Below are 16443 nucleotides of genomic sequence, written 5' to 3'. Positions count from 1 at the left end.
AGATTGTGGAGCCTCGACTACTTTAAGGCAAAGCTAAACGCACCATTTACCCATCCTCATTGCTTCAAGAACATTTCAGCATCATAGTTCTGATCCTGATTTGCCTCTGATTTATCTGCAGCTCACGTGAAAACTCTAGACCCCCTCTCCCCATAATGATGCATTACATAGCATTACATAGCATAGACAGAAAGCATTGTTGCAACTGTACTATTTGGGAATGAATTTGGGGCACACATAAGGAAAGGCATAATATAGGTGCTCCTTTTCTGTGGGATTGGAGTCACTGTCACATCCTAATGCATTTGGAGCTGAGCAGGCTTGCAGAGGGAAAAGATGAAAGAAATGGCTCCATTCTGACTCAGATGGGGATTGGGACATAACTTCAGCAGGATACACACTGCAAGCCTTCTCTGAGCTGAAAATCAGTCTGGCTTTGTCATACTGCTTCCTATGAGTGCCAGGTCTCTTGTCAGTAACAAATGCAGTGCTGCATTTGAGGCAGATCTGTTTGCATCTATAGCTGCCTTTGCAGCAGTTCCAGAGAGAGTGTTTGCTAGCTCCATACAAGGACCCTGACCAGCCAGAAATCTGCATGCTAGAGCTTAACCAGAAGTATTTCTAGCTATGACACTATAGAGGCACTACAGCATCTATGAAGATTAAGCAACACAGATATGAGTGATATTTGTTAGTGAAAAAAATCTCTTTCCAAGTCTTCTTAAAAAATGATTTTCATTCTGTGATGTTGGAAACTGTGAAATCTGATTGACAGTGAATGGTTTGCCTGCCCAGAAGTTCTTGTGCTTCTTTTGTTTTGATTGCTACCATTTGACCTTGGGAGATTTTCTTCCTATCTCCGTTAAAATATCCTGACCTTCATCCTACTTCATGAAGATGGTAAACAACATTTTGAAATGATGGGGAAAAATGCAAAAAGTAGGAGCATGGTCTCTAAAGTCAGTCTCTTGGGGTTTGAATCCCAGCTTCACCACTTAAAAGTTTGACTTCTTCAAGACTCTGTTTTCTCATTTTTAAAATGGGGATGAGGTAGTACCTGCCTCATAGGATGGTTGGGGTGATAATTCATTTGGGCCCTCTGCCAGAAGACAACCCAGATTCTGGCTCTGTGCCACTAGAAACATAGTAATATAAATGGTAGATAGGAATGTTATTATTTTTAATAAGCAGCTTCTCATAAGTGATTCAGCAGATTCCTGGTTCACAATGTTCTTTAATGGTGTAAAAAGGGTTGGCATTTTTGGAGGTGCCTCACATCCTATGGCCAGTTTAGACTTTAGGCTTTTTTGTTCAGGGCTTTCAATTTCCCAGGGCACGGGGAATAAGTAAGTGGAAGGTGGGTGAATATTGGCATGCATGGTGGTTTATTTAGGGCTGTCTTTCTGACTGTCTTCTCTTGTTTTTGTTGTAGAGATCCGTGCTCAGCTCACAGAGCAGATGAAATGCCTGGACCAGCAGTGTGAGCTTCGGGTGCAACTGTTGCAGGACCTCCAGGACTTCTTCCGAAAGAAGGCAGAGATTGAGATGGACTACTCCCGCAACCTGGAGAAGCTGGCAGAACGCTTCCTGGCCAAGACATGCAGCACCAAGGACCAGCAATTCAAGTAGGGGCTCTGTGGCTATTACTCTCTGAGACCTTGGAATATGGGGTCCAGGGTGGAGGGGGGCAGGGTATGCCACTTAGATCCAGCTGAATTCAGGAGCCCCTGGCTTCAGATTGGTTGAAAGCCCTCAAGGACTTCTCATTTTCCAGATCAGTCTTAAGTGCAATTCAACATTTCGTAGAGATGAGAGTAGATGATGAACCATGCTAATAATAACAGCAAACTTGTTTATAGCTCTGTTGCCAGGCATGCTACTAAGGGCTTTACATATATGTTAGTTTGCTTAATCCCAACAACTCCATATGATGGTTATTGTTATTATCCCCAATTTATAGATGAGGAAACTGAGGCATAAAAAGGTTAAGGGGCTTAACTCAGGGTCTATCTTAATCTCTGTCTCTCTCTCTCTCTCTCTCTCTCTCTCTCTCTCTCTCTCTCTCACACACACACACACACTCACACTCACACACCCCTAGTAAATAGTAGAGCTGGAATTGGGCTGCAGGGTCTATATTTTTAACCATTTCACCAAACTGTCTTTAATTAGAAGAAATAAATGATGTTGAGGCCATTATATCTAAATCCCTGTCTAGGTAGCTGCTAAGGTCTATTTCTTCTACATTTAGTTTATTTTATACAGCTGGCCCATTCACTTGGTTCCCAGTGCCATTGCCCTAGTTTAGATCATCATCTTTTTTGCCTGAATGATTGCAGTATTTACTATATCTTCTATAGCAGAGATTTTCAACCCTGGCTGCATATTAGAATTCCCTGGAGAACTTTAAAAAAAATACAGAAATCTGGGCCCCACTCCAGACCAATTAAATGAGAATCTCTGGGAGTGAGGCCTGGGTAACAGGGTGGTGTAAAAGCTTCCCAGGTGATTCTAATGAACAGCCAGCATTGAGGATCACAGTCCACAGCAGGGGTGTCCAATCTTTTGGTCTCCCTGGGCCACATTGGAAGAAGAAGAATTGTCTTGGGCCACCCATAAAATATGCTAATACAATAGCTGATGAGCTTAAAAAAAATTGCAAAAAAACCTCATAATATTTTAAGAAAGTTTACAAATTTCCGTTGGGTTGCATTCAAAGCCATCCTGGCCCCCATGCAGCCCACAGGCCGTAGGTTGGACAAGCTTGGTCTACAGTTTCTCTCCATTCCAATCTGCCTGCTCCATTGTGATCGGAGTTAATCTTCCTGGAACACACTGGCGATCAGAGAATTTCTTTCTGCAAAACTTTCAATGTCTCTCCATTGTCTATGTTCTTTTTATTATGATTATTATTATTTTTAGAGATAAGGTCTTGCTCTGTCACCCAGGCTGAAGTACAATAGCGTGATCTTGGCTCCCTGCAGCCTCAAACTCTTGGGCTCTAGTGATCCTCCTGCCTCAGCCTACCTCCTGAGTAGCTGGGACTGCAGGTGTGCACCATCATACCCAGCTATTTTTATTTTATTTTAATTGTTGTAGAGACAGGGTTTCGCTATGTTGCCCAGTTTGGTCTCAAACTCCTGGCCTTAAGTGATCCTCCCACCTCATCCTTCCAAAGTGCTGGAATTACAGGTGTGAGCCACCACACCCAGCCCATCTATGTTTTTGATATCAAATTGTAGTTTCTCAGTGTCAGCTTCATCTGTACTGTTAGAAATGCAGTATCTCAGGTCCTACTCCAGTCCTACTATAACAAGATCCCACAACATAGCATGTGATTTGTGTGCACATTGACATTTGGGAAATGCTGTTCCATTCACAAAGGTGCACACTTTTTGGCTTGGTCTTTAAGCCCCTCTACATCTGGAAAGCCTCAAACAGGTTTCCAACCTTATTTCTTGTTTCTGTTCCACTATACCCGAGCCAAACAGAACATTCACTCCAGTGAGTCACTGGCATCCTGTTACTTGAGGTTATGTGGTCAGTCTTTCCATCTTTGCATGTCTAAGTCATGCCCATGTCTTAAGACCCATCTCAGGTGCTCCCTGTTCCAGGAAACTTTCCTGATTCTCCCAGAAGGAAGAAAGTTCTCCATCTTCTGAATTCTTACAGCATTTTATTTGTTCTTCTCTTAGGGCATTCAGCACTATCTACCTTCTGTTATCTTCTCTGAGTGGACTGTATAAGTTTGTTTGATCTTCTGGTGTCCCACAGTGCCTAGTATAATATGTGGTGTATAGTAGATGCTCACTAAATATTGTGGAATAAATAAATGAATGAATGAATTTGAAATTAGTGCCAAGTGTATCTTATTTTCCCCATTTTCTATTTTTGTTTATTGCCTTAATAATACAGGACACAAATTATCCTTTAAAAGCCAGCTCTGTGCAATGAAGATGGGGTTAAGGTTGAGGAGAACATGACATCTCAAAATAAGCCAGAATGAAAATTTCCTCCAGATGTTTTTTTCCTCAGAGTTTCTTATCTTTCCCAAGTCTTATTCTCTTTATGATAAGAGAATCATCTGATAAAAAAATGTTATTTTAGTATGTGATAAATGAAGACTTAGGGGAGGAATCATTTGCTTTAGAAAATGATTCAAAGTTGGATTTATTCTGTTGGTAATCTCATCCTAAATTTAAAATAGCATTTGATTTTTAGTACTGTATCATATTCTCAGCTTATGGACGTATTTGTTACAAATTAAGGTTCAGATGTGTTAATCTCCAAGTCATCTTGTGTCCGGAATTGGTGGGTTCTTGGTCTCACTGACTTCAAGAATGAGGCCGCGGACCCTCGCGGTGAGTGTTACAGCTCTTAAGGTGGTGTGTCTGGAGTCTGTCCCTTCTGATGTTCAGATGTGTTCGGAGTTTCTTCCTTCTGGTGGGTTCGTGGTCTCACTGGCTCAGGAGTGAAGCTGCAGACCTTCACGGTGAGTGTTACAGCTCTTAAGGCAGCGCGTCTGGAGTTGTTCGTTCCTCCCGGTGGGCTTGTGGTCTCGCTGGGCTCAGGAGTGAAGCTGCAGATCTTTGCAGTGAGTGTTACAGCTCATAAAAGCAGCATGGACCCAAAAAGTGAGCACTAGCAAGATTTATTGCAAAAAGCAAAAGAACAAACCTTCCACCGTGTGGAAGGGGACCCGAGCGGGTTGCCAATGTTGGCTCGGGCAGCCTGCTTTTAGTCTCTTATCTGGCCCCACCCACATCCTGCTGATTGGTAGAGCCGAGTGGCCTGTTTTGTCAGGGTGCTGATTGGTGCATTTACAATCCCTGAGATAGATACAAAGGTTCTCCACCTCCCCATCAGATTAGTTAGATACAGAGTTTTGACACACAGGTTCTCTAAGGCCCCACCAGAGCAGCTAGATACAGAGTGTCGATTGGTGCATTCACCAACCTTGAGCTAAACACAGGGTGCTGATTGGTGTGTTTACAAACCTTGAGCTAGATACAGAGTGCTGATTGGTGTATTTACAATCTCTGAGCTAGACATAAAGGTTCTCCACATCCTCACCAGAGCAGCTAGATACAGAGTGTCGATTGGTGCACTCACAAATCTTGAGCTAAACACAGGGTGCTGATTGGTGTATTTACAAACCTTGAGCTAGATTCAGAGTGCCGATTGGTGTATTTACAGTCCTTGAGCTAGACATAAAGGTTCTCCATGTCCTCACCAGAGCAGCTAGATACAGAGTGTCGATTGGTGCACTTACAAACCTTGAGCTAAACACAGGGTGCTGATTGGTGTGTTTACAAACCTTGAGCTAGATATGGAGTGCCGATTGGTGTATTTACAATCCTTGAGCTAGACATAAAGGTTCTCCACGTCCTCACTAGAGCAGCTAGATACAGAGTGTCGATTGGTGCACTCACAAACCTTGAGCTAAACACAGGGTGCTGATTGGTGTATTTACAATCCCTGAGCTACATATAAAGACTTTCCACGTCCCCACCAGACTCAGGAGCCCAGTTGGCTTCATCTAGTGGATCCCGCACCGGGGCTGCAGGTGGAGCTGCCTGCCAGTCCTGCGCTGTGCGCTCGCATTCCTCAGCCCTTGGGTGGTCGATGGGACTGGGCGCCATGGAGCAGGGGGTGGTGCTCGTCGGGGAGGCTCCGGCCGCACAGGAGCCCATGGAGTGGGTGGGAGGCTCAGACATGGCGGGCTGCAGGTCCCGAGCCCTGCCCCGCGGGAAGGCAGCTAAGGCCCAGCGAGAAATCGAGCACAGCGCCGATGGGCCGGCACTGCTGGGGGACTCAGTACACCCTCCGCAGCCACTGGCCCGGGTGCTAAGTCCCCCATTGCCCGGGGCCAGCAGGGCTGGCCGGCTGCTCCGAGTGCGGGGCCCACCAAGCCCAAGCCCACCCGGAACTCCAGCTGGCCCGCAAGCGCCGCACGCAGCCCCGGTTCCCGCTCGTGCCTCTCCCTCCACACCTCCCTGCAAGCTGAGGGAGTGGGCTCCAGCCTTGGCCAGCCCAGAAAGGGGCTCCCACAGTGCAGGGGGGAGGCTGAAGGGCTCCTCAAATGCCACCAAAGTGGGAGCCCAGGCAGGGGAGGTGCCGAGAGCAAGCGAGGGCTCTGAGGACTGCCAGCATGCTGTCACCTCTCAATCTGAATTGTTCTAATTAAGATCACATACTAGGAATAGGGTGATTTCTCCAAGTTTAGAAGAATTGATTTATTTTCTGATAAAGATGGTGCTTGGCAACATTTTTTCCTCAAATAACCAGTGAGTATTTATTGATTGACCAGTTCTGTGCTTGTACAAGGCATTGGAAAATACAAGAGAAGTTTAGGGAGTCATTATGTGGTTGGAGAGAAGATTTTGAATACAGGAAGCAATTAGAGCATAAAGCAGTAATGATCTCATTAATTGGTGTTATGTACAACATAGATCTGATGAGAGGTCAGAGATGGTTAAAGGTTCTGGAATAGTCTGGAAAGTTGTCATGAAGCAGGTGGGACCTAGGCTTGAGAGGTAGATTTGTGTGGCAGAGGAGAGAACAGCAAGTGCAGGTGAGAGGAAGCAGGAATATTTGGTGATGAGAGGGTGTAGGGGCTAGTGTGGGATCCAGCTTTATTAAAGGGAAGGTTCCTAACACATTCATCTAACTGATTTCCATTGCACATTCCTTGAACTCCTTTGTGCCTTGGAGTGTAGCAGGGAACAAACTGCTACACTTAGCACTTAGCACTTAGATGAAGAAATGGGCATTTAACAAATCACACAATTAGATATGTAATTTAAAGTTGGGGTAAGTGTTGTGGAAGGAAAGTATTTAATACAAGGTGGCACAAGAACCTGGAAGAGGGCAACTTTTCCACTTTATAGCTGGTTTACTCCAATAGCTTCCTGCCTGATCATATTCTGGGTAACAATCAGTCTACTTATTCAACAAATTACTTTTAAATACCTACTGAGTACTGTGCTCTGTGTTGATTCCTATAGGAACTAACATAAACTTAGGAATTCCTGTTTAAGCGGAGCATGGTGACTTATGCCTGTAACCCCAGCACTTTGAGAGGGTAAGATAGGAGGATCTCCTGAGGCCAGGAGTTTGAGACCAGCCTAGGCAACATAGCAAGAACCCATCTCTACAAAAAATAAAAAATTAGCTCAGCATGGTGATGCACGCCTGTAGTCCTAACTTCTCAGGAGGTGGGAAGATCGCTTCACTCCAGGAGTTGGAGCCTACAGTGAGCTATGACTGCACCGCTGCACACCAGCCTGGGTGACAGAGTGAGACCCTGTGTCTAAAAAAAAAAAAAAATCCCTGGTTAACAGGGAAAAGAGCTATGTAAATAGTATAATGTGAAAAGAGCTTTAGTAGAGATATGAGAACACAGCTATTTTCAAGAGCAGTGGAAAATAAGGTTAAATAAGTAGAGTAGACCCCAAATGATAGCCCTTTGATAGCAAGCAGAGAAGTTCAGATTGGGTGTGGCAGCATTTTAGTGGGTCCTCTGGGTTCTTAGGTGGGGAGAGAGACACGAGGAAAACAGAAGGCCAGGATGAAGGTTTTGGAGTAATCTACACACAAAGTAAGAGCAAAAAAAAAAAAAAAAAAAAAAAAAGTGGGGGGAGTGGAAAGGAAGTAGGAATATATTCAGAAGGTATTCAAGAAACTAAATAGGACTGGATAACTGACTGGATAAAGCATAGAACCATAATGGTCAGAGGTGACCCAGTGTCTCTACCCTGGTGACCTAGAAGAATTGTGGCATTCACGATAGAAGTGGGGGTGTTGAGGGAAGATCTGTTTTGAATGGTGATCCTACTTTGAACATTTTGGGTGTAGAGCAGTACGAGGCCATCAGGTATCCAGGTGGAGATGGCATACTGCTGAGGTAAGAGGTTATGACTGGGGATAGCTAGCAGAATCTTCGGAGTAAAAGTGATTGTGGGAGAGATGAAAGTATATGAATTCAGGGAAGAGAAAGAGGAGAACAAAGAGCTAAATCCAGGACCCCAGGCTTAGACAATAAAAGTTTTGCATTGGTAGTAAAAGTTACTATGAGGAGAAGCAAAAGCTACCTGAAGAGAGAGAGAATAGTTTTGTTTTTTAAGGCACAGGGTAGAAGGTAAGGTGGGAAAGTGGCGTCTGATGGAACTAGAAGTGTTTTAAGTAGAAGATCTGTAAGAGCAATTTCTTATTGATACTCTCTCATGTATAAGGTATTGTGAGAGATGCAAAGATGACTAAAACAAGCCCCAAACCCAAATGTTTTCAATCTCTTAGGGTGAAACATATGAAATTGCTGGTTTTTTTTGTAAGGCAAAATGGCAATTTCATATGGTACAGCCTGGTAGAAGAGGAGATAGAACATATGTACAAATGCATTTAATACAGGCAAGGTGGTGAGAAACTCAATAAGAGAGGCTCAGGCAACATCCTACTTTCATGCATAATTTATTCCTAAAAGTGTATACAGAAGTCAAATGGTTGAATGTCTAACTACAGTTTTATGTGGGGTAGGTAGGTTCTATTATTATAAATAAGTGTATATGTGAAATTCCAAATTATCCCTCACCTGATATATTTTTAGCATTGTATACCTTGTCTTTAGTTCTGTTTGTTTTTCCACCATTAAACTCATGGCCTGCCTGCTCAAGTTCAGTGAATACCTAAAGAGTCCACGTAGCTGATGAGTTCTGCCCTTATCTTAGTAGTACAGTGATGAGACCTCTACTTCTCAATGCCTCAATGCAACATTAGTAACAGCACTTTTGTTTTTCCATTTCCACTCATTTTTGTGTTGCAAAAGATAACCAAGTGTTAAAATGTGTGCACAGCACAAGCATTGCTGTGCAGAGACAACCATCCTGCTGAAACAGAATTGGTACCTGGCAGTCAGCAGCACTAAGACAAGCTTGAAACATTTGCTGGCAACTGAAAATTTGACATTGGCATAGGAAAGGCATCTTAGGCATGTCTGATTTGGTAAAGATATAAGTTTGGCTGATGTAATAGACCCCAAGTAATAATGGCATACACAAGATAGAGGTTGATTTCTCTCTGATGTCATAGTCTAGGTGTTAGCCATCCAGGGCTGTCAGGCTTCTTATTCCATCCCGAGAGTGTTATCCTTTTCTGTATGACCCAAGATGGCTCACTGCCACCATGTTCTCATTCCAGCCAGCAGGAAAAGGCAACAGGACGAGGGGCAGGTATGGCCTTATTTTTTAAAGGTGCACTCTGGAAGTGGCACACACAGCTCTTCAACTCATATCTGACTGGCCAGAACTTAGTCACATGGTTATGCTGAACTGCAAGGGAGGCTGGGAAGTGTAGTTATTGTTCTGGGTGACTATAAAGTAGAGTTTCTCTTAATATAGAAGAAGGGGAAATATTGGGGGACAATCAGCAGCATCTGCCATGGTGTATGAAAGGACAAGTGTAGGAAAGACCATGGCCACCCATCCATACAGAGTGCCACAGGTGCACAAAGAAGAGAGATTTCTTCTGATTGGAGGACTGGAGAGGGCTTTAGGGAGGTCAAGTTCAATGGATGGGAGATAAAAAAATTAAAGTGCCAATGCTAGGCATTGATCCTTTAAGCTTAATACAGTTGAGACAATGGAGAAGTTGTAGAAAGAAGGTGAAAAGATGGGAAAGGAAGCATTTTAGATAGAGCAGTATTAGAAAAGGCTAACAGAAGTGAGAACAAAGGCTGATGGATAACTTATCTGTTTTGCTGAAGAACAGTAATTATAAATGTGATAGTGAAATAAACCTGGAAAAGATAGGGGCCAGAAGATTAAAGAGGTCTATGAATGCCAGGCGACAGGGTTCGGGCTTTATTCTGTAAGCATGGGGGACCATTGATAGTTTTTGAGCAAGGAACATAATTATGGCTGTGCTTTCGAAGGGTAACTATGGCAACGATGCATATGATCAATTGGAGCAGAGAGACTGGAAGGAGGAGGACCTGTTAAGAAAGGAGTCCAGTGGTGAGGTTAATGTGGGCTGAAACTGAGGTCATACCCTTGGAAATAGACAAGATGGGGCCAAGTGTGAGGACAAGAATCAATGGAATTCAAAGAAGCTGGGACAGAGAAAGTGCTCTTGGTTTCCTGGGTCTCTGGAGTGACAATAGTACTGTATTTTCATTCAGTCGGTGAACTGTAGCCTTGATTTTGCTGACTCTAGGACTGGTCCCAGAATAGTTCATTCTCTGCCCAGAACATCTCAGTGGGCACTCATCACCTCCCCCGGAGCTGTAGCAGCTGTTGGGCTAGCAATGCCATGAATTTGTCTTCCTGTACTGCCAGGAGAGCAGCTGCCAGCAGCAACTCTGAACAGACCCATCTCAGGGACGTGGAAACTATTCAACTTGGGATGCAGCAGGTTGGCCAGGGCTGAATTCAGTCCACATGGATTCATCTCACCCTTTTCCAGGCCACTTTCTTACCCTGGCTGGGTTTCAGCCACTCATACTGCGTTAGGTTGGGTATTTTCTTACAGTTCTAAGTGATTGCATTTAGGGATGGACGCTGCTGAACTGCTTTCTTCATCTTTTGGACACCTCCTCCCCTGGAAGCCATTACGCTGTCAGCCTTTGGCTTTGCTTCCTACTCTGCTCTGCTCCTGCTCACCTTTTGTCCTCTCCCACATTGCGCTCAGTGCAGATATCCTCATTAAAGCCTGTACAGTTCTGACTCCATGGCAGCCTGACCCTCTGGTTCCATCCCTCTCCTTCTTTCTCCTTCCCCCAGAGAATGAGAGATGCTGCAGATAGAACTGTAGCGATTATTTGACCCTATGTTATTCTGCTTTGTTTAAGACAGGTAACATGGCTTTCCCCATCCCTGTGAATTGTGGGAAGACCCTGCTAATGTCTGAAATTCTGTCAGCCTGGTTTGATTAAGAGCAGTGGTAAAGTATTATGCGAGGGTAGGAAGCCTTTCTAGGGAAGATGTTCTTGCATTTTCTTTGGCTCCTTGAAGAGCATAAATGTATTCCTATGCGTTGCTGAGCCTTTGATTGTCTCTTTTAAGTGGAATCTGTGTTAATATGGCCCAGCAGGACTCTAATTGATAATGCATTGGCTGTTTGTTTGTTTTTTTTTTAAATAGACTTGCTGTAAATTACCTTTCAGTCATAGCTCACTTGGTTTTGATCTCCTGCTTTTAATAGCTCATTTTTTAGGTAGCTTTTTTTTTTCTGTTGAGTTTTTAGAGCAATACTTCTACATTTCTGTCCTGCTGTGTTCCTTGCAGAGACCTTCTGCTATTTTATAACCCACTGTCAGTATCTTTTCAGCGTTTCTCCCAGCTTCTTTCTCTCCTCAACACATATTTGTTGACTATTTTAGAGGTTTTGTTCTAAACTCTTAGAGGACAGAGATCCAAAGAAATAAAAGGAGTAGTTCTTTCCCATATGAAATTATAATCTAGTCAGGGAGAAATTAAATTCAAATACAAGAATACAAATCTTCAACATAAGGCTATATGTAGTAAGTACTAAGTATATGCTGCAGAAGAGATGAGGCTCAGTTGATGTAGACAGGAAACTTCAGTAAGGAAATGAGATTTGAACAAAGCTTTAAAGAAAATGGCTCTTGAGAGGGAGGGGAAGATACTCTAGGAAAAAGGGGCACAGCTAGAAGAAAGAACAAAGCACTTTTGAGGTACAGTGAGTAGACTGGTTTAGCTGGGAGAATAAGTGGATGTGGAAGAAGTGGACAAAGGTAGATGGGTTTGTATTGTGGAGGGCCTTGACCCTTGATTAGGGATTTGGCTCTATGCAATAGACACTGGAAACCACTGATGGTTTAAATAAGTATGAATTCTGATTAAGGAAGATTAACCTAGTGGTAGTTTGCTAAATGACAAGAAACATGAGACCAAGGAAACCAGTTGCTGCAGTAGATCATAAGGATCTAAATTAGGTTGGGATGGTAGGAATGAAAAGAAGGGGAATTTATCCTTCTGTCCATTTAGCAAATATATATCTTCTTACCATGTGCCAGACACATGCCAGATACCCACCCCTGTACTCCTAGAGCTTACAGTCTAGAGACAGACGGAAAGCACCTGGTGCAGGAAGAATCTACAGGAATTGCTGACTGATGGGATTCAGGTTTCAAGTGAGCTTGGAAGCCATAAAAGAAAGAGGTCTGTAAAGTGTCTTTTTGACTTGGGTGATTGATAAATTAATGGTATCTTTAAAAGAAATAGAGAGGGGCTTTTTTGTTTTTTTTTTTTTGTTGTTGTTGTTGTTGTTGTTGTTGTTGTTGTTTGGGTTTTTTTTTAGATGGAGTTTCGCTCTTGTTGCCCAGGCTGGAGTGCAATGGCACGATCTCAGCTCACTGCATCCTCTGCCTCCCAGGTTCAAGCTATTCTCTTGCCTCAGCCTCCCGAGTAGCTGGGATTACAGGCATGCGCCACGACGCCAGGCTAATTTTGTATTTTTAGTAGAGACGGGGCTTCTCCATGTTGGTCAGGTTGGTCTTGAGCTCCTGACCTCAGGTGATCCGCACACCTTGGCCTCCCAAAGTGCTGGGATTACAGGCATAAGCCTCTGTGCCCAGCTGAAATCTAGTGTTTTTTAACAGAAGTTAGGAGAAAGAATTGTTTTTGAAGGAGTAAAATATGAGAAATTTGGTTTTGGATTTTAAGTTTAAGGTGTTGGAAGAGTATTGAAGCTAAAATTTCTAGTAGTTGACAAAATGAATGGCTGTATGCAGGGCTAAAGAGATTTTTTGGCTGTTGGTAGAGATTTGCACACGTGCACAGAGGGGATGGTTGAAACTGTGGAAATATTTGTGATTTCCAATAGTAAGAGTTTAGAAGAACAAAGGGGAAACTTCCTTTGTATCATCTGTGATACTCAGATTACAGAGTGTATAAAGGAATTTAAATGATATATTTATTTGTGTATCATTGAGTATACATTTTGGGAACCTAATTATGTATCAGGAATTGGGTTTAGTACTGGAGATAGAGAAGAATAAGACAATCTCCTATTTTCACTAATATTAAATTAGCAGAATATCAAGGAGGTAGACATAGAAAGTAAACTTTCTTGTTTGGCTGGTTATCAGTTGTGTCACTATTGGAAGTGATGTGAGGGAGCAGGGCCTAGGTATCTTAAGAATTTGGTAGACATTCAACCTGCAATACTCCTTTCAGTGGGAGGTTAGTTACACAATTAATTAAAGAAAAATTATTGTAGAGTCTGTGTTCTCGGCTTCAGGCCCAGTATTTGAATGTGCGCCATCTCTGTAGTTACATCACTACTGCGGATGGGTTCCTCCCCTGGAGTTGAGTTCAAAGTCATTCACCAGTCTCACAGGATAGCATTGGGTTGAAAAGCATAGAGTCAGTTGGCCATGGAAAATGTTATAGTTGTGGTTGCAAATCGGAAAAGGGTGGAAGACCAGAAGGTTCCTCATTGACTTATGGAGTGACCTTGAGAAGGAAAGTACCAGGAAACATGAAGCTCCCGGGAGGGAAAACCCCTGACTTCCTGGGACCAGTGCATCACTCACTCATTTTGGACATATTTGGGAGCTGTTTGTTCCCTCAGGAAAGATTTTGCCCAGATGTAGCATCTGGTGTTGCAAGGGTTGGCTTCCCTTCTCCATGGCTCAAGATGCCTTTGTTCAGAAATTAACAGAAGGTTCTTTGGTGTGTTTTGCATGGGCCCAGTTCATGTAGAACCTTAGGTCATTGTTGAGTCCTTTTTGGAGGAAGAGTTGGGAGGACTTCTCACACATGGGTAAAGCAGAATGGAAGAGACGCAAGAAGGCCATTTGGGAATCAGCAAGACAGGGTGATCCAGTCTTTGGAAGAGAGAAAGAATTCAGTTAAAAGTTCTTTGGGAAGCTTTGTGACTTTGTGTGGGAAAAACCAGAGCTTTGAGCCAGAAAAACTTGGGTCTGAATCTTGTCTCTTCTACTCCTAGCTTGTGACCTTAAGCAAGTCACTTAACCCCTGTTAGCCTCAATTTCTTACCTGTGAAATGTTGACAGTAATACTTACCTTGAAGGATCCTTCTAAGGATATATATAATGTATATACAGCACTAGCTAATGTTTGTGACTTAATGGATGCTCAATAAATGGTAGCTGATATAATTATCAGGAAAAGTCAATCCTGATAGTTAAGATCAGCCACAGAAGAGTCAGCCCTGATAGTTAAGATCACAAGTTCTGGGAACCAGATTTCCTGGGTTCACAATCCTGGATTTCTCCCACTTACTTGCTGTGTGATTTTAGATGAAAGGTTTTAATCACCTCAGTATCCTCGTTTGCAAAATGAAGATAATATTCATAACTACCTTATGGAGTTGTTATGCTGGTTAAGTGAATTAATAATATGTGAAACACTTAGGACAGCTTGGCACATAGTAAATGTAAATAGTAGCAACTATTATCCCTATCCTCAGGATTTGGGCCTGAGCACAGCTGTACTGGGTAAAACACTGGTATATTAGATACACTAGTCATTCCTTGTGCAGAGTTAAGTATTCCTAAGCCTGGCTGGGTAATATGTCAGTTTCCATTTTCTTCAGACCCCTGTGGGCCCTCATGAATGACAAATTCATCCCCTACCCTGATTTTTATGGTATAGCTACATTGGGCAGGACATAGGCAATTATGTGACTCTGTGTAATTGCATGGTCAGTCCCTATAAAAACTCAGCAATTGTATGTTTTGTTCTGTAAGGTGTCATATAGTTCAACCTTGGTGGGTTACTTTTAGATCCAGGCTCATAATCATGAAGAGGAAGACATTTGTCATACAACCACTCTCTGATTTTCTCGTCCTCTTGGAGTTAATAGTTAGCCCTATTGCCAAATTGCTGAGTTTCTATAAAGATATACTGTTGAGACCCACAGGTCCCAATTTTGACTTGGGCAAATAAAAGAAGGCCAGTCCTATTCAGCCTCCTGCAGTATCTACCATCGAGGCCAGCAGGCCAGTGCAGTACAAACCTTAGTCATGAACATAACAGTATGTGGTTTACTGGGTTGTTTGTCTCATGAGGCCAAACAGAAGCTCCCAAGCTTCTGCATAAATGGCTTTATATCTTCCTTTTAGGGTAGGGAATGATAAGAGGGCAGGTTAGAAGCAAAATATGCTTTTATGAGCAATTGGGAGGATGTTGGAGACTCCTGAGAGTTTCCTGTGTCTCCTAGGATTTGCCACTGGAATGTCAGCAGGCCATACCTCAGGCGTTCAGCTCCATGGAGCAAAGACAGTAGTGATCACGTTCCTTGACAACAGTGCTAGTGTGCGGGGAGCTTTTAGTTTTCCTTTTCTCTGCTCCTGTAAGCCCCATAATAATTCTGTAGCAGACACAGGAAGCAATGTGTCTAACTACTACTAGGCAATGTGTTCTTGGGATTTTTAATTCTCAGGAATTCGCAGCCAATTAAATGAATTTACTTTGATCCAGTTCTCTTTTCAAGGCAAAAGCTGTGTCATCTTATTGGGAGCTGACTGTGTTAAGTGGGAAGGGTTTACAAGATAAGAAGAAAAGACAGTCTCTGCCATACGTGTTTTTATAATTGAAATGGGGGAAATCGGGCAGGCTGAGAGAGAATAATAAGAACACATGTGCACAGGAATTTAAAAATAGCACCCCATTTAAAGCAGGTTCCAGTAGTCACCAGGAAAAGAAGAAAGGTGGAGTACTCAGGAGGGACTTGTACTTGGTTCAGTCAGGGAAAGGTAAAAGATAGTATAGTTATGTTCTCAATTAGATTTGTTCCCTGGTTAATTGAAGTAAAGACTTTAATATCTAATTCCTACACTGCACAGAAGTATCACACATTGAAAAGAAACAGTGTGACATGGGAAGGACTCACTGTTAACGAAAGATTTAGAGAGAATGAAAAAAAAAGTAGGATTTGGGTTTTTCAGAGTTGAAATAGGTTCATCTTTTCTGCTAGCTCCTCCTTTTATACATCTCCACTGTCGTTGCTCCTTGGGTTTTAAATTCAGGGAGAATCAATGAGCACAGTTCTGCGTCTTAATATATTTAGGGTGCAGCTGGTTAAAGAGCCAGGATTAGAAAATGAATCGAACAAACTAGGATTATCTTCAACAGTAGGATGCTGAGCTGTGTTTGCTGATTCCTGCTTAAGCAGTCGGGACAGGGCATCCTTGCATGAAATTCAGACATCCCTCCCTGGCAGCCTCTGTGGTAAAGTAGAGGTTGCAGAACAAGTCTGGCAGCTCTCAGCCCGAACCCTTGTAAACAACAGATGTTCATAACTAAGTTCTAGGGTGGGGGTAGGGGTTATTGTTGATGCTTGAAATTCTTTGAATTTATAGGCAGCATCTCAGGGATTTAGCAAAAGGAGGAAGTTATACAGAATTGATTTCTGCAGTGTACAGGTAGAAATGATGCCTCATGGATTTCCTTGAAGACA

The 16443-nt window shown here is 42.9% G+C and overlaps 1 protein-coding gene across 11 annotated transcripts in view, besides 2 other annotated features; it reads left to right on the top strand.

Moving 5' to 3' along the window:
- Nucleotides 1–16443, top strand: part of SRGAP2B (SLIT-ROBO Rho GTPase activating protein 2B) — a 208093-nt gene that overhangs the window by 98748 nt on the left and 92902 nt on the right. For 7 of the 11 annotated variants that reach the window (NM_001385227.1, NM_001366280.2, NM_001330684.2 and 4 more), the window contains exon 3: nucleotides 1433–1625. The exons of 2 other annotated variants lie outside the window; for them this stretch is intronic. In NM_001385227.1, coding sequence (NP_001372156.1) covers nucleotides 1433–1625 — 193 coding nt within the window. Of the gene's footprint in view, nucleotides 1–1432; nucleotides 1626–16443 lie in introns of those variants that run through there. 2 more of the 11 variants (XM_047428007.1, XM_047428008.1) reach the window with 2 other exon arrangements.
- Nucleotides 5149–5814: an enhancer, noted in NCBI's record as "H3K27ac-H3K4me1 hESC enhancer chr1:144017621-144018286 (GRCh37/hg19 assembly coordinates)". NCBI's record gives its function as "activates a minimal SCP1, AML or CMV promoter by ChIP-STARR-seq in naive and primed H9 embryonic stem cells {active_cell/tissue: H9 hESC(naive and primed)}" and the evidence as "EXISTENCE:reporter gene assay evidence [ECO:0000049][PMID:30033119]".
- Nucleotides 15627–16127: an enhancer, noted in NCBI's record as "H3K27ac-H3K4me1 hESC enhancer chr1:144028101-144028601 (GRCh37/hg19 assembly coordinates)". NCBI's record gives its function as "activates a minimal SCP1, AML or CMV promoter by ChIP-STARR-seq in naive H9 embryonic stem cells {active_cell/tissue: H9 hESC(naive)}" and the evidence as "EXISTENCE:reporter gene assay evidence [ECO:0000049][PMID:30033119]".

This window comes from Homo sapiens, chromosome 1, assembly GCF_000001405.40.
Source record: "Homo sapiens chromosome 1, GRCh38.p14 Primary Assembly".
NCBI classification, from domain to species: domain Eukaryota; kingdom Metazoa; phylum Chordata; class Mammalia; order Primates; family Hominidae; genus Homo; species Homo sapiens.
Note: the sequence above shows the minus strand (reverse complement) of the source record. Positions and strands in the feature narration are given on the sequence as shown.